Here is an 18,526-nt window from a genome sequence, read left to right as displayed (position 1 = left end):
AGTACTGACAGGAAGGCTCTAGGAAAGTCTCAGGGGATAGAGTTTGTGAAATCACTTTTCTCTTCACCCTTTAATACCTTCTAAAATTTCATTTGGAAGAAAACTGTAAGGTTGAAAGAAATGCTTGAATGAAAAATAAGCTTTTCTTAGCCACTTCAATTTCTTTGGAGAAAGAAGAATATAAATAAGTCTAAATAAATACCAATAGTTTTTATCTAAAATATGGTTTTTCTGATAAATTCCTCAGTAAATCTTGAGCAAATAAGGATTAAAATTTTCTAACTACTATGTTTTCTATAATTTAGAAAATTAGAACTTTTCTAATTTTAGAAAATTAGAAATTTAGCCATAAATCAGCAAATATGGTAATGTACCACATAACATTTTGGTCAACGATGGACCACATATATAATAGTGTTCTGATAAGATTATAAAGTAGATGAAAAATTCCTGTTGCGTAGTGACGTCATAGCTGTTATAATGTCTTAGTGCAATGCATTACTCAGGTGTTTATGGTGATGCTAAACAAAACGACTGCACTGCCAGTCTTATAAAAGTATAGCATATGCAATTATGTATAGTACATAATACTTGAAAATCAACAGCAGTGTTACTGGTTTATGTGTTTCCTATACTGTACTTTTTATTGTTATCTTAGAGCATACTCCTACATGTTTTTTTTTTTAAGTTAACTGTAAAACAGCCTTAGGCAAGTCCTTCAAGAGCTATATTCCAGAGGGAGGCGTTGCTATCAAAGGAGGTGACAGTGCCATGTGTGTTATTACTCCTGAAGACCTTCCAGTGGGACAAGATGTACAGGTGGAAGACACTGATATTGATAATCCTGACCCTGTGTAGGCGTTGTCTAATGTATATGTTGGTGTCTTTGTTTTTAACAAAAAACTCAAAGAATAAGGATATAGAGAAAAAATATTTTTGTACAGCTGTACATTTGTGTTTTAGAGTCAAAAGTTAAAAAATTAAAAATTTTATAAAGTAAAAAGTTACAGTAGGCTAAGGTTAGTGTTGAAGAAAAAATATGTTTTTATAAATTTAGTGTAGCTTCAGTATACAGTGTTTGTAAAGTCTACAGAAGTGTAAAGTAATGTCCTAGGCCTTCCCATTCATTCTCCACTCACTCACTGACTCACCCATAGCAACTTCCAGTCCTGCAGGCTCCATTTATGGCAAGTACCCTATACAGATGTACCATTTTTTATCTTTTATACAGTATTTTTACTGTACCTTTTCTATGTGTAGATACACGAAAACTTACAATGTTAAAATTGTTTACAGTCTTCACTACAGTAACATGCTGTACAGGTTTGTAGCCTAGGAGCAGTAGGCTATACTATTAATATTTTGCCTAGGTGTGTAGTAGACGTTACCATCTAGGTTTGTGTAGCAAACTCTGTGGTGTTCATACAACAATAAAATTAATGATAAATTTCTCAGAATGTATTCCTATTATTAACTGATGCATGACTCCATTTGGATTTGTAAAGCAGCGTGGTAGATACTGTGGAAACTAAAAATAATCCTTCTTTTAAAAGTTTCTCCTGGGTACGGTGGCTCACAACTATAATCCCAGCACTTTGGGAAGCCGAGGTGGGAGGCTTGCTTGAGCCCAGGAGTTTGAGACCAACCTGGACAACATAATGAGACATCATCTCTACAAAACACAAGATTAGCCAGGCAAGATTAGCCAAGCCAGCTGCTTGGGAGGCTGAGGTGGGAGGATCACTTGAGCCTAGAAGGTCAAGGCTGCAGTGAGCCATGATTGTACCACTGCACTCCAGCCTGGGCAATAGAGCAAGACCCCCATCTCAAAACAAAAACAAAAAAAAGTTCCTATTCCACTTAGAAGAATGTGTGTATGTATGTGTGTGTACATATATGTGCATATCTATACATATATGTAAAATACTAGCATTATAATACAGGATTGATAAATCTCTTATACATAAAATAAGTATTTAATATCATAGAGATTTGATGTGTAAAGAAAGCTGTCTGGATTAAAATGAATGGAAAGGAGACCTGAAAAGAAGGGGGACAAGGGTGCAGTCTTTTTTTTTAATTTTTTTTTTATTATACTTTAAGTTTTAGGGTACATGTGTACAACGTGCAGGTTAGTTACATATGTATACATGTGCCATGTTGGTGTGCTGCACCCAGTAACTCATCATTTAACATTAGGTATATCTCCAAATGCTATCCCTCCCCCCCCCCACCACCCCACAATAGGCCCTGGTGTGTGATGTTCCCCTTCCTGTGTCCCTGTGTTCTCATTGTTCAATTCCCACCCAAGAGTGAGAACATGCGGTGTTTGGTTTTTTGTCCTTGCGATAGTTTGCTGAGAATGATGGTTTCCAGCTTCATCCATGTCCCTACAAAGGACATGAACTCATCCTTTTTTATGGCTCCATAGTATTCCATGGTGTATATGTGCCACATTTTCTTAATCCAGTCTATCATTGTTGCACATTTGGGTTGGCTCCAGGTCTTTGCTATTGTGAATAGTGCCACAATAAACATATGTGTGCATGTGTCTTTATAGCAGCATGATTTATAATCCTTTGGGTATATACCCAGTAATGGGATGGCTGGGTCAAATGGTATTTCCAGTTCTAGATCCCTGAGGAATTGCCTCACTGACTTCCACAATGGTTGAACTAGTTAACAGTCCCAATGGTGTAAAAGTGTACCTATTTCTCCACATCCTCTCCAGCACCTGTTGTTTCCTGACTTTTTAATGATTGCCATTCTAACGGGTGTGAGATGGTATCTCATTGTGGTTTTGATTTGCATTTCTCTGATGGCCAGTGATGATGAGCATTTTTTCATGTGTCTTTTGGCTGCATAAATGTCTTCTTTTGAGAAGTGTCTGTTCATGTCCTTCACCCACTTTTTGATGGGGTTGTTTTTTTCTTGTAAATTTGTTTGAGTTCATTGTAGATTCTGGATATTAGCCCTTTGTCAGATGAGTAGATTGCAAAAATTTTCTCCTGTTCTGTAGGTTGCCTGTTCACTCTGAGGGTAGTTTCTTTTGCTGTGCAGAAGCTCTTTAGTTTAATTAGATCCCATTTGTCAATTTTGGCTTTTGTTGCCATTGCATTTGGTGTTTTAGACATGAAGTCCTTGCCCATGCCTATGTCCTCAATGGTATTGCCTAGGTTTTCTTCTAGGGTTTTTATAGTTTTAGGTCTAACATTTAAGTCTTTAATCCATCTTGAATTGATTTTTGTATAAGGTGTAAGGAAGGGATCCAGTTTCAGCTTTCTACATATGGCTAGCCAGTTTTCCCAGCACCATTTATTAAATAGGGAATCCTTTCCCCATTGCTTGTTTTTCTCAGGTTTGTCAAAGACCAGATGGTTGTAGATATGTGGCATTATTTCTGAGGGCTGTGTTCTGTTCCATTGGTCTGTATCTCTGTTTTGGTACCAGTACCATGCTGTTTTGGTTACTGTAGCCTTGTAGTATAGTTTGAAGTCAAGTAGCATGATGCCTCCAGCTTTGTTCTTTTGGCTTAGGATTGACTTGGCGATGCAGGCTCTTTTTTTGGTTCCATATGAACTTTCAAGTAGTTTTTTCCAATTCTGTGAAGAAAGTCATTGGTAGCTTGATGGGGATGGCATTGAATCTATAAATTACCTTGGGCAGTATGGCCATTTTCATGGTATCGATTCTTCCTACCCATGCGTGTGGAATGTTCTTCCATTTGTTTGTATCCTCTTTTATTTCCTTGAGCACTGGTTTGTAGTTCTCCTTGAAGAGGTCCTTCACATCCCTTATAAGTTGGATTCCTAGGTATTTTATTCTCTTTGAAGCAATTGTGAATGGGAGTTCACTCATGATTTGGCTCTCTGTTTGTCTGTTATTGGTGTATAAGAATTCTTGTGATTTTTGCACATTGATTTTGTATCCTGAGACTTTGCTGAAGTTGCCTATCAGCTTAAGGAGATTTTGGGCTGAGACAGTGGGGTTTTCTAGATATACAATCATGTCATCTTCAAACAGGGACAATTTGACTTCCTCTTTTCCTAATTGAATACCCTTTATTTCCTTCTCCTGCCTGATTGCCCTGGCCAGAACTTCCAACACTATGTTGAATAGGAGTGGTGAGAGAGGACATCCCTGTCTTGTGCCAGTTTTCAAAGGGAATGCTTCCAGTTTTTGCCCATTCAGTATGATATTGGCTGTGGGTTTGTCATAGATAGCTCTTATTATTTTGAGATACGTCCCATTAATACCTAATTTATTGAGAGTTTTTAGCATGAATGGTTGTTGAATTTTGTCAAAGGCCTTTTCTGCATCTATTGAGATAATCTTATGGTTTTTGTCATTGGTTCTGTTTATATGCTGGATTATGTTTATCGATTTGCATATGTTGAACCAGCCTGGCATCCCAGGGATGAAGCCCACTTGATCATGGTGGATAAGCTTTTTGATGTGCTGCTGGATTCGGTTTGCCAGTATTTTATTGAGGATTTTTGCATCGATGTTCATCAGGGATATTGGTCTAAAATTCTCTTTTTTTGTTGTGTCTCTGCCAGGCTTTGGTATCAGGATGATGCTGGCCTCATAAAATGAGTTAGGGAGCACTCCCTCTTTTTCTATTGATTGGGATAGTTTCAGAAGGAATGGTACCAGCTCCTCCTTGTACCTCTGGTAGAATTCGGCTGTGAATCCATCTGGTCCTGGACTTTTTTTGGTTGGTAAACTATGAATTATTGCCTCAATTTCAGAGCCTGTTATTGGTCTATTCAGAGAATCAGCTTCTTCCTGGTTTAGTCTTCAGAGGGTGTATGTGTCAAGGAATTTATCCATTTCTTCTAGATTTTCTAGTTTATTTGCGTAGAGGTGTTTATAGTATTCTCTGATGGTAGTTTGTATTTCTGTGAGATTGGTGGTGATATCCCCTTTATCATTTTTTATTGCGTCTATTTGATTCTTCTCTGTTTTCTTCTTCATTAGTCTTGCTAGCGGTCTATCAATTTTGTTGATCTTTTCAAAAAACCAGCTCCCGGATTCATTGATTTTTTGAAGGGATTTTTGTGTCTCTATTTCCTTCACTTCTGCTCTGATCTTAGTTATTTCTTGCCATCTGCTAGCTTTTGAATGTGTTTGCTCTTGCTTCTCTAGTTCTTTTAATTGTGATGTTAGGGTGTCAATTTTCGATCTTTCCTGCTTTCTCTTGTGGGCATTTAGTGCTATAAATTTCCCTCTACACACTGCTTTGAATGTGTCCCAGAGATTCTGGTATGTTGTGTCTTTGTTCTCGTTGGTTTCAAAGAACATCTTTATTTCTGCCTTCATTTTGTTATGTACCCAGTAGTCATTCAGGAGCAGGTTGTTCAGTTTCCATGTAGTTGAGCGGTTTTGAGTGAGTTTCTTAATCGTGAGCTCTAGTTTGATTGCACTGTGGTCTGAGAGACAGTTTGTTATAATTTCTGCTCTTTTACATTTGCTGAGGAGTGCTTTACTTCCAACTATGTGGTCAATTTTGGAATAAGTGCAGTGTGGTGCTGAGAAGAATGTATATTCTGTTGATTTGGGGTGGAGAGTTGTGTAGATGTCTATTAGGTCTGCTTGGTATGGAGCTGAGTTCAATTCCTGGATATCCTTGTTAACTTTCTGTCTCGTTGATCTGTCTAATGTTGACAGTGGGGTGTTAAAGTCTCCCATTATTATTGTGCGGGAGTCTAAGTCTCTTTGTAGGTCTCTAAGGACTTGCTTTATGAATCTGGGTGCTCCTGTATTGGGTGCATATATATTTAAGATAGTTAGCTCTTCTTGTTGAGTTGATCCCTTTACCATTATGTAATGGCCTTCTTTGTCTCTTTTGATCTTTGTTGTTTTAAAGTCTGTTTTATCAGAGACTAGGATTGCAACCCCTGCCTTTTTGTGTTTTCCATTTGCTTGGTAGATCTTCCTCCATCCCTTTATTTTGAGCCTATGTGTGTCTCTGCAGGTGAGATGGGTTTCCTGAATACAGCACACTGATGTGTCTTGACTCTTTATCCAATTTGCCAGCCTGTGTCTTTTAATTGGAGCATTTAGCGCATTTACATTTAAGATTAATATTGTTATGTGTGAATTTGATCCTGTCATTATGATGTTAGCTGGTGATTTTGCTCGTTAGTTGATGCAGTTTTTTCCTAGCCTCGATGGTCTTTACAATTTGGCATGTTTTTGCAGCGGCTGGTACCGGTTGTTCCTTTCCATGTTTAGTGCTTCCTTCAGGAGCTCTTTTAGGCAGGCCTGGTGGTGACAAAATCTCTCAGCATTTGCTTGTCTGTAAAGGATTTTATTTCTCCTTCACTTATGAAGCTTAGTTTGGCTGGATATGAAATTCTGGGTTGAAAATTCTTTTCTTTAAGAATATTGAATATTGGCCCCCACTCTCTTCTGGCTTGTAGAGTTTCTGCCGAGAGATCAGCTGTTAGTCTGATGGGCTTCCCTTTGTGGGTAACCCGATCTTTCTCTCTGGCTGCCCTTAACATTTTTTCCTTCATTTCAACTTTGGTGAATCTGACAATTATGTGTCTTGGAGTTGCTGTTCTTGAGGAGTATCTTTGTGGCATTCTCTGTATTTCCTGAATATGAACGTTGGCCTGCCTTGCTAGATTGGGGAAGTTCTCCTGGATAATATCCTGCAGAGTGTTTTCCAACTTGGTTCCATTCTCCCCGTCACTTTCAGGTACACCAATCAGACGAGAGTTGGTCTTTTCACATAGTCCCATATTTCTTGGAGGCTTTGTTCGTTTCTTTTTATTCTTTTTTCTCTAAACTTCTCTTCTCACTTCATTTCATTCATTTGATCTTCCATCACTGATACCCTTTCTTCCAGTTGATCGAATCGGCTACTGAGGCTTGTGCATTCGTCAGGTAGTTCTCGAGCCTTGGCTTTCAGCTCCATCAGGTCCTTTAAGGACTTCTCTGCATTCGTTATTCTAGTTAGCCATTTGTCTAATTTTTTTTCAGGGTTTTTAACTTCTTTGCCATGGGTTCAAACTTCCTACTTTAGCTGGGAGTAGTTTGATCGTCTGAAGCCTTCTTCTCTCAACTCGTCAAAGTCATTCTCCGTCCAGCTTTGTTCCATTGCTGGTGAGGAGCTGCGTTCCTTTGGAGGAGAAGAGGCACTCTGATTTTTAGAGTTTCCAGTTTTTCTGCTCTGTTTTTTCCCCATCTTTGTGGTTTTATCTACTTTTGCTCTTTGATGATGATAACGTGCAGATGGGGTTTTGGTGTGGATGTCCTTTCTGTTTGTTAGTTTTCCTTCTGACAGTCAGGACCCTCAGCTGCAGGTCTGTTGGAGTTTGCTGGAGGTCCACTCCAGACCCTGTTTGCCTGGGTATCAGCAGCAGAGGCTGCAGAACAGTGGATGTTGGTGAACAGCAAATGTTGCTGCCTGTTCGTTCCTCTGGAAATTTTGTCTCAGAGGAGCACCCAGCCAGTACCCGGTACTGGGGGGTACCTCCCAGTTAGGCTACTTGGGGGTCAGGGACCCACTTGAGGAGGCAGTCTGTCTGTTCTCAGATCTCCAGCTGCGTGCTGGGAGAACCACTACTCTCTTCAAAGCTGTCAGACAGGGACATTTAAGTCTGCAAAGGATTCTGCTGCCTTTTGTTTGGCAATGCCCTGCCCCCAGAGGTGGAGCCTACAGAGGCAGGCAGGCCTCCTTGAGCTGCAGTGGGCTCCACCCAGTTTGAGCTTCCTGGCCACTTTGTTTACCTACTCAAGCTTTGGCAATGGCGGGTGCCCCTCCCCCAGCCTCGCTGCCGCCTTGCAGTTTGATCTCAGACTGCTGTGCTAGCAATGAGCGAGGCTCCGTGGGCATAGGACCCTTCAAGCCAGGCAGAGGATATAATCTCCTGGTGTGCCGTTTGCTAAGACTGTTGGAAAAGCGCAGTATTAAGGGTGGGAGTGACCCGATTTTCCAGGTGCCGTCTGTCACCCCTTTCTTTGACTAGGAAAGGGAATTCCCTGACCCCTTGCACTTCCCAGGTGAGGCAATGCCTCGCCCTGCTTCGGCTCATGCTAGGTGCGCTGCACCCACTGTCCTGCACCCGCTTTCTGACACTCCCCAGTGAGATGAACCCGGTACCTCAGTTGGAAATGCAGAAATCACCCATCTTCTGCGTTGCTCATGCTGGGAGCTGTAGACTGGAGCTGTTCCTATTCAGCCATCTTGGCTTCACCCCACCAAGGGTGCAGTCTTAAAGAATGGGCAGAATTGTAATGGGAAATCCGAAAAACACAATCTAAAAAATAATATAAACCTGATCCTGAGGTAATACATATGCAGTTTGTTTTCGAGACAGTGAGAGCCCAACTGAAGTGTGGAAGGTTCCTTTTGGGGATAAGGTTGGAAAGATAAATTACACAAAATTTTGGAGGATCTTATGACATTCTCAGGAATTTGGACTATTTTGTCCAATAGCTGAGAGCCATTGAAGATTATCACTCAAAGAAGCAAATTATTAAAGTGGTGTTTTGGAAAGAGAAATATGCTAGAGATACATGGTTTAGAGAGGGAAACCCACTATATTAGTTGAGTACATTCATTTGCCCTGTGGTAGAGTGCTTTACATATATTGTTTCACCTGATATTGAGAAACCCAAGCAGCTCGTTATTACAATAACTCTAAGAATTAAGTTCTAAGGACTTGAATTGGGATGGTAACACTGAATAGGAATGAAAAATAGATGCAAGAGACGTATCAAAGAGAGAGTCTCTTTCAGGGTAAATGAGATGTTGCATTTAAGACAGTGAGAAGCTGGGCACGGTGGCTCATGCCTGTAATCCCAGCACTTTAGGAGGCCAAGGAGGGTGGATCACCTGAGGTCAGGAGTTTGATACCAGCCTGGCCAACATGGTGATACCCCATCTCTACTAAAAATACAAAAATTAGTTGGGCATGGTGGTGGGTGCCTGTAATCCCAGCTACTGGGGAGGCTGGGGCAGGAGAATCACTTGAAGCGGGAGGCGGAGGTTGCAGTGAGCCGAGATCACGCCACTGCACTCAAGCCGGGGAGACACAGTGAGACTCCATCTCACAAAAAAAAAAGAAAGACAAAGTGAGAAATAGGAGTTGACTTTAAGCTTTTTAACCTAGACACCTAGGGCTGAGATGTCAGTATAAACTGAGGAGCAGGATGAGAAGTAGATTTGTGGGACAATGCAAAAAGCTTGATATTAGGCTTGTTAAGTTTGAATTTAAGACTGGACTTTTAGGGAAGAAGTCTGAAGTAAAAATTTAATTGCTAGCTTTCCAAGTAAGTATATAAATTTTCATATTCCTAGAAGGCCTAATACACATACACACACACATATACTCTGTGTGTGTGTGTGTGTGTGTGTGTGTGTGTGTGTGTGTGTGTGTGTGTGTTACTTACTCAATGAACTTTCATTATTTGCCTGCCATGTTGCAGTATAGGGCAGTGGTTAAGAGCACGGACTTTGGAATCAAAGGACCAAGTTTTTTTAACCTTGACTGTACAACTGACAAGCAGCCAGATGCAGTGGCTCACACCTGTAATCCCAACACTTCAGGAGGCCAAGGTGGGAGGACTGCTTGAGCCCAGGAGTTCTAGATCAACCTGGGCAATATGGTAAAACCCTATCTCTACAAAAAATACAAAAAAACTAGCCGGGCATGATGGCATGCACCTGAAGGCTCAGCTACTCAGGAGGCTGAGGCAAGAGGACCACCTGAGCCTGGGAGGTGCAGGCTGCAGTGAGCCGTGATTGTGCCACTGCACTCTGGCCTGGGTGACAGAGTGAGACCCTCTCTCAAAAAACAAACAAACAAACAAACAAAAAACCTGACAGGCTATGTGACCCTAGGCAAGTTACTTATTTTTTTAATTTCTGTTTTTTAATTTTCTCATATGTAAAAATTGGGATTTCGGGGCTGGGCACAGTGGCTCACGCCTGTAATCCCAACACTTTGGGAGGCCGAGGAGGGCGGCTCACGAGGTCAGGAGATTGAGACCATCCTGGCTAATATGGTGAAACCTCATCTCTACTAAAAATACAAAAATTAGCTGGGCGTGGTGGCGGGCGCCTGTAGTCCCAGCTACTTGGGAGGCTGAGGCAGGAGAATGGCATGAGCCTGGGAGGCAGAGCTTGCAGTGAGCCGAGATGGCACCACTGCACTCCAGCCTGGGGGACAGAGCAAGACTCCATCTCAAAAAAAAATGGAGATTTTATATATTAGTCATGCAAACTAAATATTAAATTAATTTATGAAAGCACCTAGAACAGTGCCTGGCACATTGTAAGCAAATACTATGGAAATGTTTGCTCTTATTATCATCATCACATCATTTTCACTATTATTTGCCAAGCTTTGTTGAGTACAAAGATGAATAATGAAGTTGCTCACTATCCAATGGGGGAGACAGAGCTTGATATATAAAGAGATAAATATTTACATAGATTAAGGGTAACAAAGTATATTTTCATTTAATGATTTGTGTCTTTGTGATCTTAAATATTGTGGAAAATCATTACTATCCATCATTAAGATTGTCTTGAGTAAGTAAGTGAATAATAGTTTAGGCATGAAATTATACCAGTAGGTGTTTTCCTGAAAAGGTTTTGTGTAAACTGAATGTTGGCTAACTTTATAAATGTGTTCATCGTTTCTTCTTAATCTCAATTATACTCACAATTTATTTTTCATCAGCACTAATATGCGTAACTTTTACCTGTAATTACATTTGACCTAGAAGACTGACCACTAGTCATTTTGTTTATCATTCTTTAGTTGTTTTTTTTCTTATGTTGTCGGGGGGATGGTTGGGCAGTAATTTTAAGCTGCACAAGATACATTAAAGTAAGCATAATAATTTATTCTATTTTGTCATTATCACTCAAAGCTAAAACAATATATTTTGGTTTGTCTGTCATGGAATTAATGATAGATACCCAAACTCCTCATAGTCAATGAACCTGTGTTTATGAAATCACTAAGTTAGAATAACTGATCTCCCTCGTAGTCTGTCAGTTCTGTGATGACAACAATTATGTTTGCCACCACATACCTTGCACCTGGCCTGTAACGAATGTTCAGTAACTATTTGTATAATTGAATAGTGGATGACATTGCTTTCTGTTTTATATATTTATAACAAATTACTTGTTATTTTTAGCAACTATTCACTCAACTATAGGATACTTGAGAGGCTTACCAAGTTTTTAGGCTGTTTGCTGGCTCATTTGAAAAAAATCAAAGCTGAAGTTATTTTGGAAGTGCTAATCTGTTGATTGATTTAAGAAGCACAAGTAAGGTCAAAGGATAAAAGCCAATACTGAATCAAGGATTTCACCTAAGCCAAATCCAAATTAATTCTCTACTTGGAAATAATGATACAGAAATCATCCATAATCATCATAACCCTAAAAGTTCACACACAGTGTGATGTGAAGAAAAGCTTTGAATGTCATTGATTCCTTATATGTAATACTCACAAATTTATCTGATATTTGTTCAGATTACTTTTAAGGCTACATTGTATGTACCCTTAACCTGAAACTCTTGAAGTGACATTTGGCTAAAAGCAATAGAATACTTATACGTTGAACAAGAAGAAGAAGACAGTTCTGTGCGTAAGATAATTTCAGCTAATGAAGCATAAATGATATGAATGAGTAAAACACAGTACATTTACAACCAAAACATAAATAAGAATTCTAACTATACTGCACTGAAGTGATACTGGAGTAATTAATGTTTCCTTAAATTTCTAAGAGTTGAGCTCCCCTAAAAAGCACTGTATATGAATCTTACAAATGCATACTAAGGCCAGGCACAGTGGCTCATGCCTATAATCCCAGCACTTTGGGAGGCCGAGGAGGGTGGATTGCTTGAGCTGAGGAGTTCAAGACCAACCTTGGCAACATGGTGAAACCCCGTCTCTACTAAAATACAAAAAATTATCCAGGCGTGGTGGTGCAAGCCTGTAGTCCCAGCTACTCGGGAGGTTGAGGCATGAGAATCACTTGACCCTGGGAGGCAGAGGTTGCAGTGAGCCAAGATCATGCCACTGCACTTCAGTTTGGGCTACAGAATGAGACTCCATCTCAAAAAAAAAAAAAAAAAAAGCATATTATAGCTAAGAAGCACAGTAGCTTACAAGATTTTGTAATAATAAATACTGTATCTTTTTAATATGAGTATGCTTTTATTTTAGTGTCTAATAGTATCTCAAAATAATGTTGAAGATACTTTTGTACTTTTAAAATATGTATTTTTATTTTGCTTTTTTTAGTTTGGCAAAATATACATAAAATTTACCATTTTAATTGTGATAAAATTTTTTAAATTATGATAAAATACACATAAAACTTACCACCTTAACTATTTTTAAGTGTACAATCCAATAGTGTTACATGTATACACATTGTTGTGCAACTAATCTCTAGAGTATATGTGTGTTTTGTTAAAAAGAAATAAACAAGTCCTTGAGATATGGTCTATTAGTAAGTGACTTTATTTTCCACCTCAAGATGATATTTTTGTTCAAATCATGAACATGTATCTTGCTAATAAAGATTCTGTTTTCTATTTGGAACAATTATATTAATGGATTTTTTGGTGCTCTTAATAGGAGTGAGCTGAGTCGACAGAAACTTCATACCCAAGAGCTGCTTTCTCAGCTGGAAATGGCAAATGAAAAGGTAGCTGAGGTGAGATAATGACTCCCCTGGGAAGTGCTTTCTGCTGCAGCATGATACACATGTTATAGAATTTTACCTGAGCCAAATCCAAATTATTTCTCTACTTGGAAATAACAATACAGAAATCATCCATAACCCTAAAAGCCCACACGCAATATAATGTGAATAAAAGCTTTGAACATCAGTGATTCATCATATGTAAATAATAAAAGGTAGAGCTCTTATTTCTGTTTTACCAATAGAACTTGTGTAGTATTTCAGAGAACGTATTAGGATCCCCTTTATTCTTATGCATCTCTAAAATTATTTTTTAACCCATTCATCTTTTTTCATTTTAATCCATCCCAAAAGACACATCACATAAAAAATACTTTTGCCTACTGGAATATATTAAAATATATTTAGATTTATGCCTTAGAACTAAATATAGCAAGAGTTCAAGTTTTTTTCCTTGAGGCATTCAAAAAGTAAACAATTTTTGGATTATGATTGAGGCTTTTTAGATCTCTTCATTTGATGTTCTAACTTCAAATGTTTGTTGGAATTTCTCTGAATATATGGTCTACTCCATCTTTGTGGTCTACTGTAGTAGCTATAGTGAAATCGTTACTCCTAAGCATCATGGCATTATGAATTGATATGAGCCATTTAGAAGTTAATTGAGGAATAGCCATTGAAATAATCTTTCAGGTAGCTCCCATTTCCAGATATCTATTCTAATGAGTAATTTAAAATACAAAAAAAATTTGAAAGAAGGTACTCAGTACAGTAATGTTAATAATATAGGAAGATCAAAAGCAACCAAAATGATGAATAGAAAAGGAACAGTTGCATATACTAGGATTTATCCAATCTGAACTGTTCCTCAACCATTATGGTAGCAGTATAGAAGAAGTTGCATTATATGAAGTCTGCGTATAAATATGAAAATGATTATTACAGATGATGGAATTTTTTCCCCCGTTTTCTCTAGCATATGATGTGCTTCTTAAAATTTAGAGGCTACATATTTAAACATCTTGGTAAATTGGACCAGCCAATATAGTTCTCTTCATAACATTTAATTTTGCTTTTGGGCATAATAAGAAATATAATAAGCTCATTTTAGCAGGATACTGTTATTTCAATATTTTATATTACTGTAATAGCCATAACATTCATTCTTATCACTTGTATGTTAGGACATGGGAACTATAAGTTTCTGGTTCTTCATAGAAAATGTGTTTTTCTAACTCTTCCTGATTAGGCTTGTATTATTATCTCATTCAGATAAGTGCCAGAAAAACTGTTTAACAATTCTAGTTGTACAAAAATATTTTTTTCAGATGTACTATAACCAGGCTAGTAAGTGTGGAGAGAGCTAATCCATTTTTTAATTTCCATTTTTTAATTGATAGATTATTTGCACTTGTCTGTCTGACAGTATGTTGTGACAGCTTTGTATTCATGATGCCTGTATAGTTCTTGCCATAACAAAGTATTAGAAACTGGGTGGCTTAAACAACGCAAAATAATTGTCTCTTAGTTCCAGAGGCTAGAAGTCCAAAATTGAGGTATTGACATTGTTAGTTCCTTCTGAGAGCTGTGAGGGAGAATCTGTTCCATGCCTTTCTCCCAGCTTCTGGTAGCCTCAGACATTCTTTGGCTTGTAGATTGTGTTCTCTCTGTGTCTTCAACTTGTCTTTCCTTTGTACATGTGTGTCTCTGTGTCCAAATTTCCCCTTTTATGAAGACACCAGTCATATGGATTATGGTCCACCCTAATGATCTCATCTCAACTTGATCATCAGCAAGGACTCTCTTTCCAAATAAGGTCACATTCCCAGATACTGGGGGTTAGGACACAATTCAACCCCTAACAGTGCCTAATAGCTCTTTTGACCCTAATAGACTCTGGAGTATGCAGATGTCTTGGGGAACATACAGAAACAGTTCATCCCACCCCTACTAAAGCTCTGGTTGTAAGGCCCAGCAGTCTGTGTTTTCACAGTCCAGGTGATTCTGAAGCAGTGACCTTCACAAATTGAAAGTCTTATTCTTCCGAGTCATTTTGCTTTGAGATTTGTTAATTCACTTTCTTTGCTGGCATGTGGGAGAAAGAAAACAATTTATTAAGAATGTAAAACAAAGTTTGTATTTTAAAGCTCATAACTTGAAAAATGTAAATTTGGAGATAATATTCTTTGTATTTTATAAGTGGTAAAGTGATGTCCAGATTTTTCGTTGATTATTCCACAAAACATCTCCATGTCACATATGGATTTCTAACTTGTTTTCTATTTCCCCTTAATAGAATGAAAAGCTAATTCTAGAGCATCAAGAAAAAGCCAACAGACTTCAAAGGCGTCTAAGTCAGGCAGAAGAGAGAGCTGCTTCAGCTTCCCAGCAGGTAGGGAGCATCCTCTTATCCCTAGATAATAAACAGTTCAAAGATAAGTTTTTTAGAAGTTCCCAGGGAACTTAATAGTTTATTTTTACTAGATTAACATATTTTAAAATTAATCCCTTTAATATGTGAGGTTGAAAAAGTAAACATTGGAAACAAAAATAAGCTATGCGTGGTGGCTCGCAACTGTAATGCCAGCAATTTGGGAGGCCTAGGCAGGAGGATCACTTGAGGCCAGGAGTTCAAGACCATCCTGCAAAACATGGCAATACCTTTTCTCTACAAAAAATTTTAAAAATTAGCCAAATATAGTGGCGCATATCTCTGTTTCCAACTACTGGGAAGGCTGAGGCAGGAGGATGGCGTGGGCCCAAGAAGTCGAAGCTGCAGTGAGCCACGTTTGTGCTACTGCACTCCAGCCTGGCGGACAGAGTGAGACCCTCACTCTGTATCAACAAAAAAAAAAAAAACAGAAAAGACATATACTGTCTAACAATCATAGCCTCTAGCCACAGGCCACTATTTATATTTAAATTAATTTAAATTAAATTAAATTTAAAATTGAAATCATCCATCATACTAGTCAGATTTCAAGTGCTCAATAGCTGTATGTAGCTAGGGCTATCACATTGGACAGCATAGATGTGGAACATTTCTGTCATAACAAAAAGTTCTGTTACACAACACTGCTCTAGAATTATGTCCTATCTAAAACCAGGCAGAGATTCACTAACAGATTTGAAAGTAGATAATATTGCTTTGAATGTAATATTTCAAATTTCACTAACTTTGTTTTTATTTTACTTATCAGTGGAAAAAAATTCCTTGGCTTACAAGTTAATTTACTTAATGCATATTTTCATATGACCAAAAAAATCTAAAATACAATATAAAAGTTGTCCAGTGGGAAATAGAGTAGAAAATGCAGAATAACAATGAAATACTAAGGGATAATTTCTCTTAATACACACACATCATATAAATGAAGTAGGCCCTTGATTGTAAAGTAGGAGCAATAGTCCCTCATATGAGGAACAAAATGAGACCAGTTCAGTGATTATAGACTAGACACAGACAGTTGAAATGGATAGATAGATAGGGGAGGCGAGAAAACAAAAACAAATCAAATTACTATATTATTAATTATATTTGCTTATAAATGTATTATTTCAATCAAAATTAATATTATTCTTAACTATTACAGCATTTTATACATAGTAAAGCCACTCTGCTTGCTGAATTCAGTTTATGTTCATGATATTTACAGATTTTTTTGAATCTACTTCTGTTATGAACATGGCATGCCACTTAAAGAAAATTTAATAATAATTTATCCTTCTGTTACTCTCCCTCTTGAAAGTAATTACAGCCTTTTCAAATAATTTTTATGTCTTATGAAGTTATGAATTAACTAATGGGTTAGCTAATTATGCAAGAATGTATTTAGGTTATAAGGTAACAGAAGTTAGGTGCACTGGACAGTATCTGGCAAGTATGTGTTTTGGTGTCAGGCAAATCGCTTAGTGCCATTTAGTGCCATTAAGTAAAAGCTTGTGACTTTGGGCAATTTCAACTTCTCTAAGCCTCAGTTTCCTCATGTTTAATATAGGATAATAATACCTCCCTCATACGGTTATTAAAGGATCAAAAGAATTAACACATGTAAAGCATTTCCTATAGTGGTAAGTAGATATTTAGACAGATATGTAAGAAATTAAATTTCTGTATCATAATCCTTAAAGCTTCACGTTTACCTTTTTTAAGGCAAATGGCAAAGAAAACGTCTACGAAAATCAACTACCTTGAGTTCTATAGTAAAAAGGGAACGATTACAGGACATTAATTATATAACCAGTTAGCATCTAGTTTAGTTTCTCCCCTGAAAAAATTAAACCTAAACAGTCTAGTACTGATGTTTCTTCTGTTGTTTAAACTCTCCAATGGCAAAGATTCCACCGTTCTTTTGACTAACCTTTTTAAAATGTTTTGTCAGTAACCACTTCACGAATTGTTCTGTAACAAATCTTTCCCTAAGCTTTTCTCCTTCCATTCTGTTCTTATTTGAAGATGGAAGGTAATTATTCAGCACTTTTCCCTTACCCAAAAAGGAATTTCTTCCCTGGAGTTAATATTTTTTCTGTTTTAAATGAGTCCAAGTGATCAACTTTGTTTGTAAGACGTACATTTTATTTTTTTAATTTTTATCTTTACCCTCTCTGAATCTTCTAATTTTCCTATAAAAACTGAAAAAGTGCTATTAGAAATAATATCCTACTAAATGCATATTAACAAAATGAAGAAAATTTAAAAATTATTATCATCTCTGACACATCACACTTACCATAGTGCAGTGCAGCATCGTGTTACTGGTTCAATACAAGCCCTGAATCGTGCTGATGCACTGTGCTCTAAATGTGCTTTTCTGATTAACTTTCTCTACACGTTATTCATCCATTCTAAGTGTATCACTCTAAATAGTTGAATGCCATACTGTGTTCTGTTAACATATGAGTTTTTTAAATCAGCGTGGTGAAGCCTTTCAATGCAAGAACACAAAACCTAGAAGCTAAGAAAAAAATTAATAAATATAATCACAGTTTCAAATTTCTGTATCAGAAAAAGTCATAAAGTCAGTGACAAACCGAGAAAAATATTTGTACCATATATGACAAAAGGCTAATGCCCTAAACACATATAAAGGATACCTAAGTTTTCAAAAAATGCCACAGTCCGGTAGACAAATATATAAAGGAAGTTTATGGAGAAAGAAGGACAGATGGCTTTTAAACATTTAAAAAGATGTTCATCCTCACCTATAAGACAAATACAAATTTAAACTGTAATCACATCATTTTTTACCTATCAGATCATGAAGTTTGGAAATGCATTGTGCTGGCACTTTCACATATTATTGATATAAGCACATGTTGGTACAGTCTCCGGAGCACAGTTTGGCAGTATCTTTCAAAAACTGTAAATGTATATAACCTTTGACCCACACTTGCACCTGGAAACATTTTTGCCAGGAAGCAAACATATAAAAATACTGATTGAAGCATTGTCTCTCCTTTTAAAAGATTAAAAACCATACAAATACCCAACAATAGCAGACTGGTTATATGGAGTATTCACACAGAGGAACAGTTTGCAGCTATTAAGAGGAATAAAGTATAGTAGGCCTAATATAGAGCTATTTCTAAGGTAGATTATTTAGAAGAAAAACACAAGATGAAAAGTGTTTATAATACTTTCATCATTTTTTAAATTAAAGGAATGAAGAAATACATATATTCTCATTTAAAATATTTACGGAAACATACTTTAAAACTGGAAATAGTGGTTGTATCTGGAGAGGGGTCTATGGAATGAAAGACAGCAATGGGAACGAGACTTCCTTTATGCTGTCTACCGTTTTGTACTGTTAGATCTTTTTTTACTATGTGTAT

The 18,526-nt window shown here is 37.5% G+C and overlaps 1 protein-coding gene across 5 annotated transcripts in view; it reads left to right on the top strand.

Annotated features, from left to right (window-relative positions):
- SCLT1 (sodium channel and clathrin linker 1) overlaps positions 1-18,526 on the top strand; it is a 220,299-nt gene that overhangs the window by 189,778 nt on the left and 11,995 nt on the right. For all 5 annotated transcript variants that reach the window (XM_047449590.1, XM_017007717.3, NM_144643.4 and 2 more), the window contains exons 19-20: positions 12,625-12,703; positions 14,988-15,083. In XM_047449590.1, the coding sequence (XP_047305546.1) occupies positions 12,625-12,703; positions 14,988-15,083 (175 nt within the window). The remainder of the gene's footprint in view (positions 1-12,624; positions 12,704-14,987; positions 15,084-18,526) is intronic.

The sequence above is a fragment of the Homo sapiens genome, chromosome 4 (assembly GCF_000001405.40).
Source record: "Homo sapiens chromosome 4, GRCh38.p14 Primary Assembly".
Taxonomy (NCBI): Eukaryota; Metazoa; Chordata; class Mammalia; order Primates; family Hominidae; genus Homo; species Homo sapiens.
This window is presented reverse-complemented; position numbering and strand designations above follow the sequence as displayed.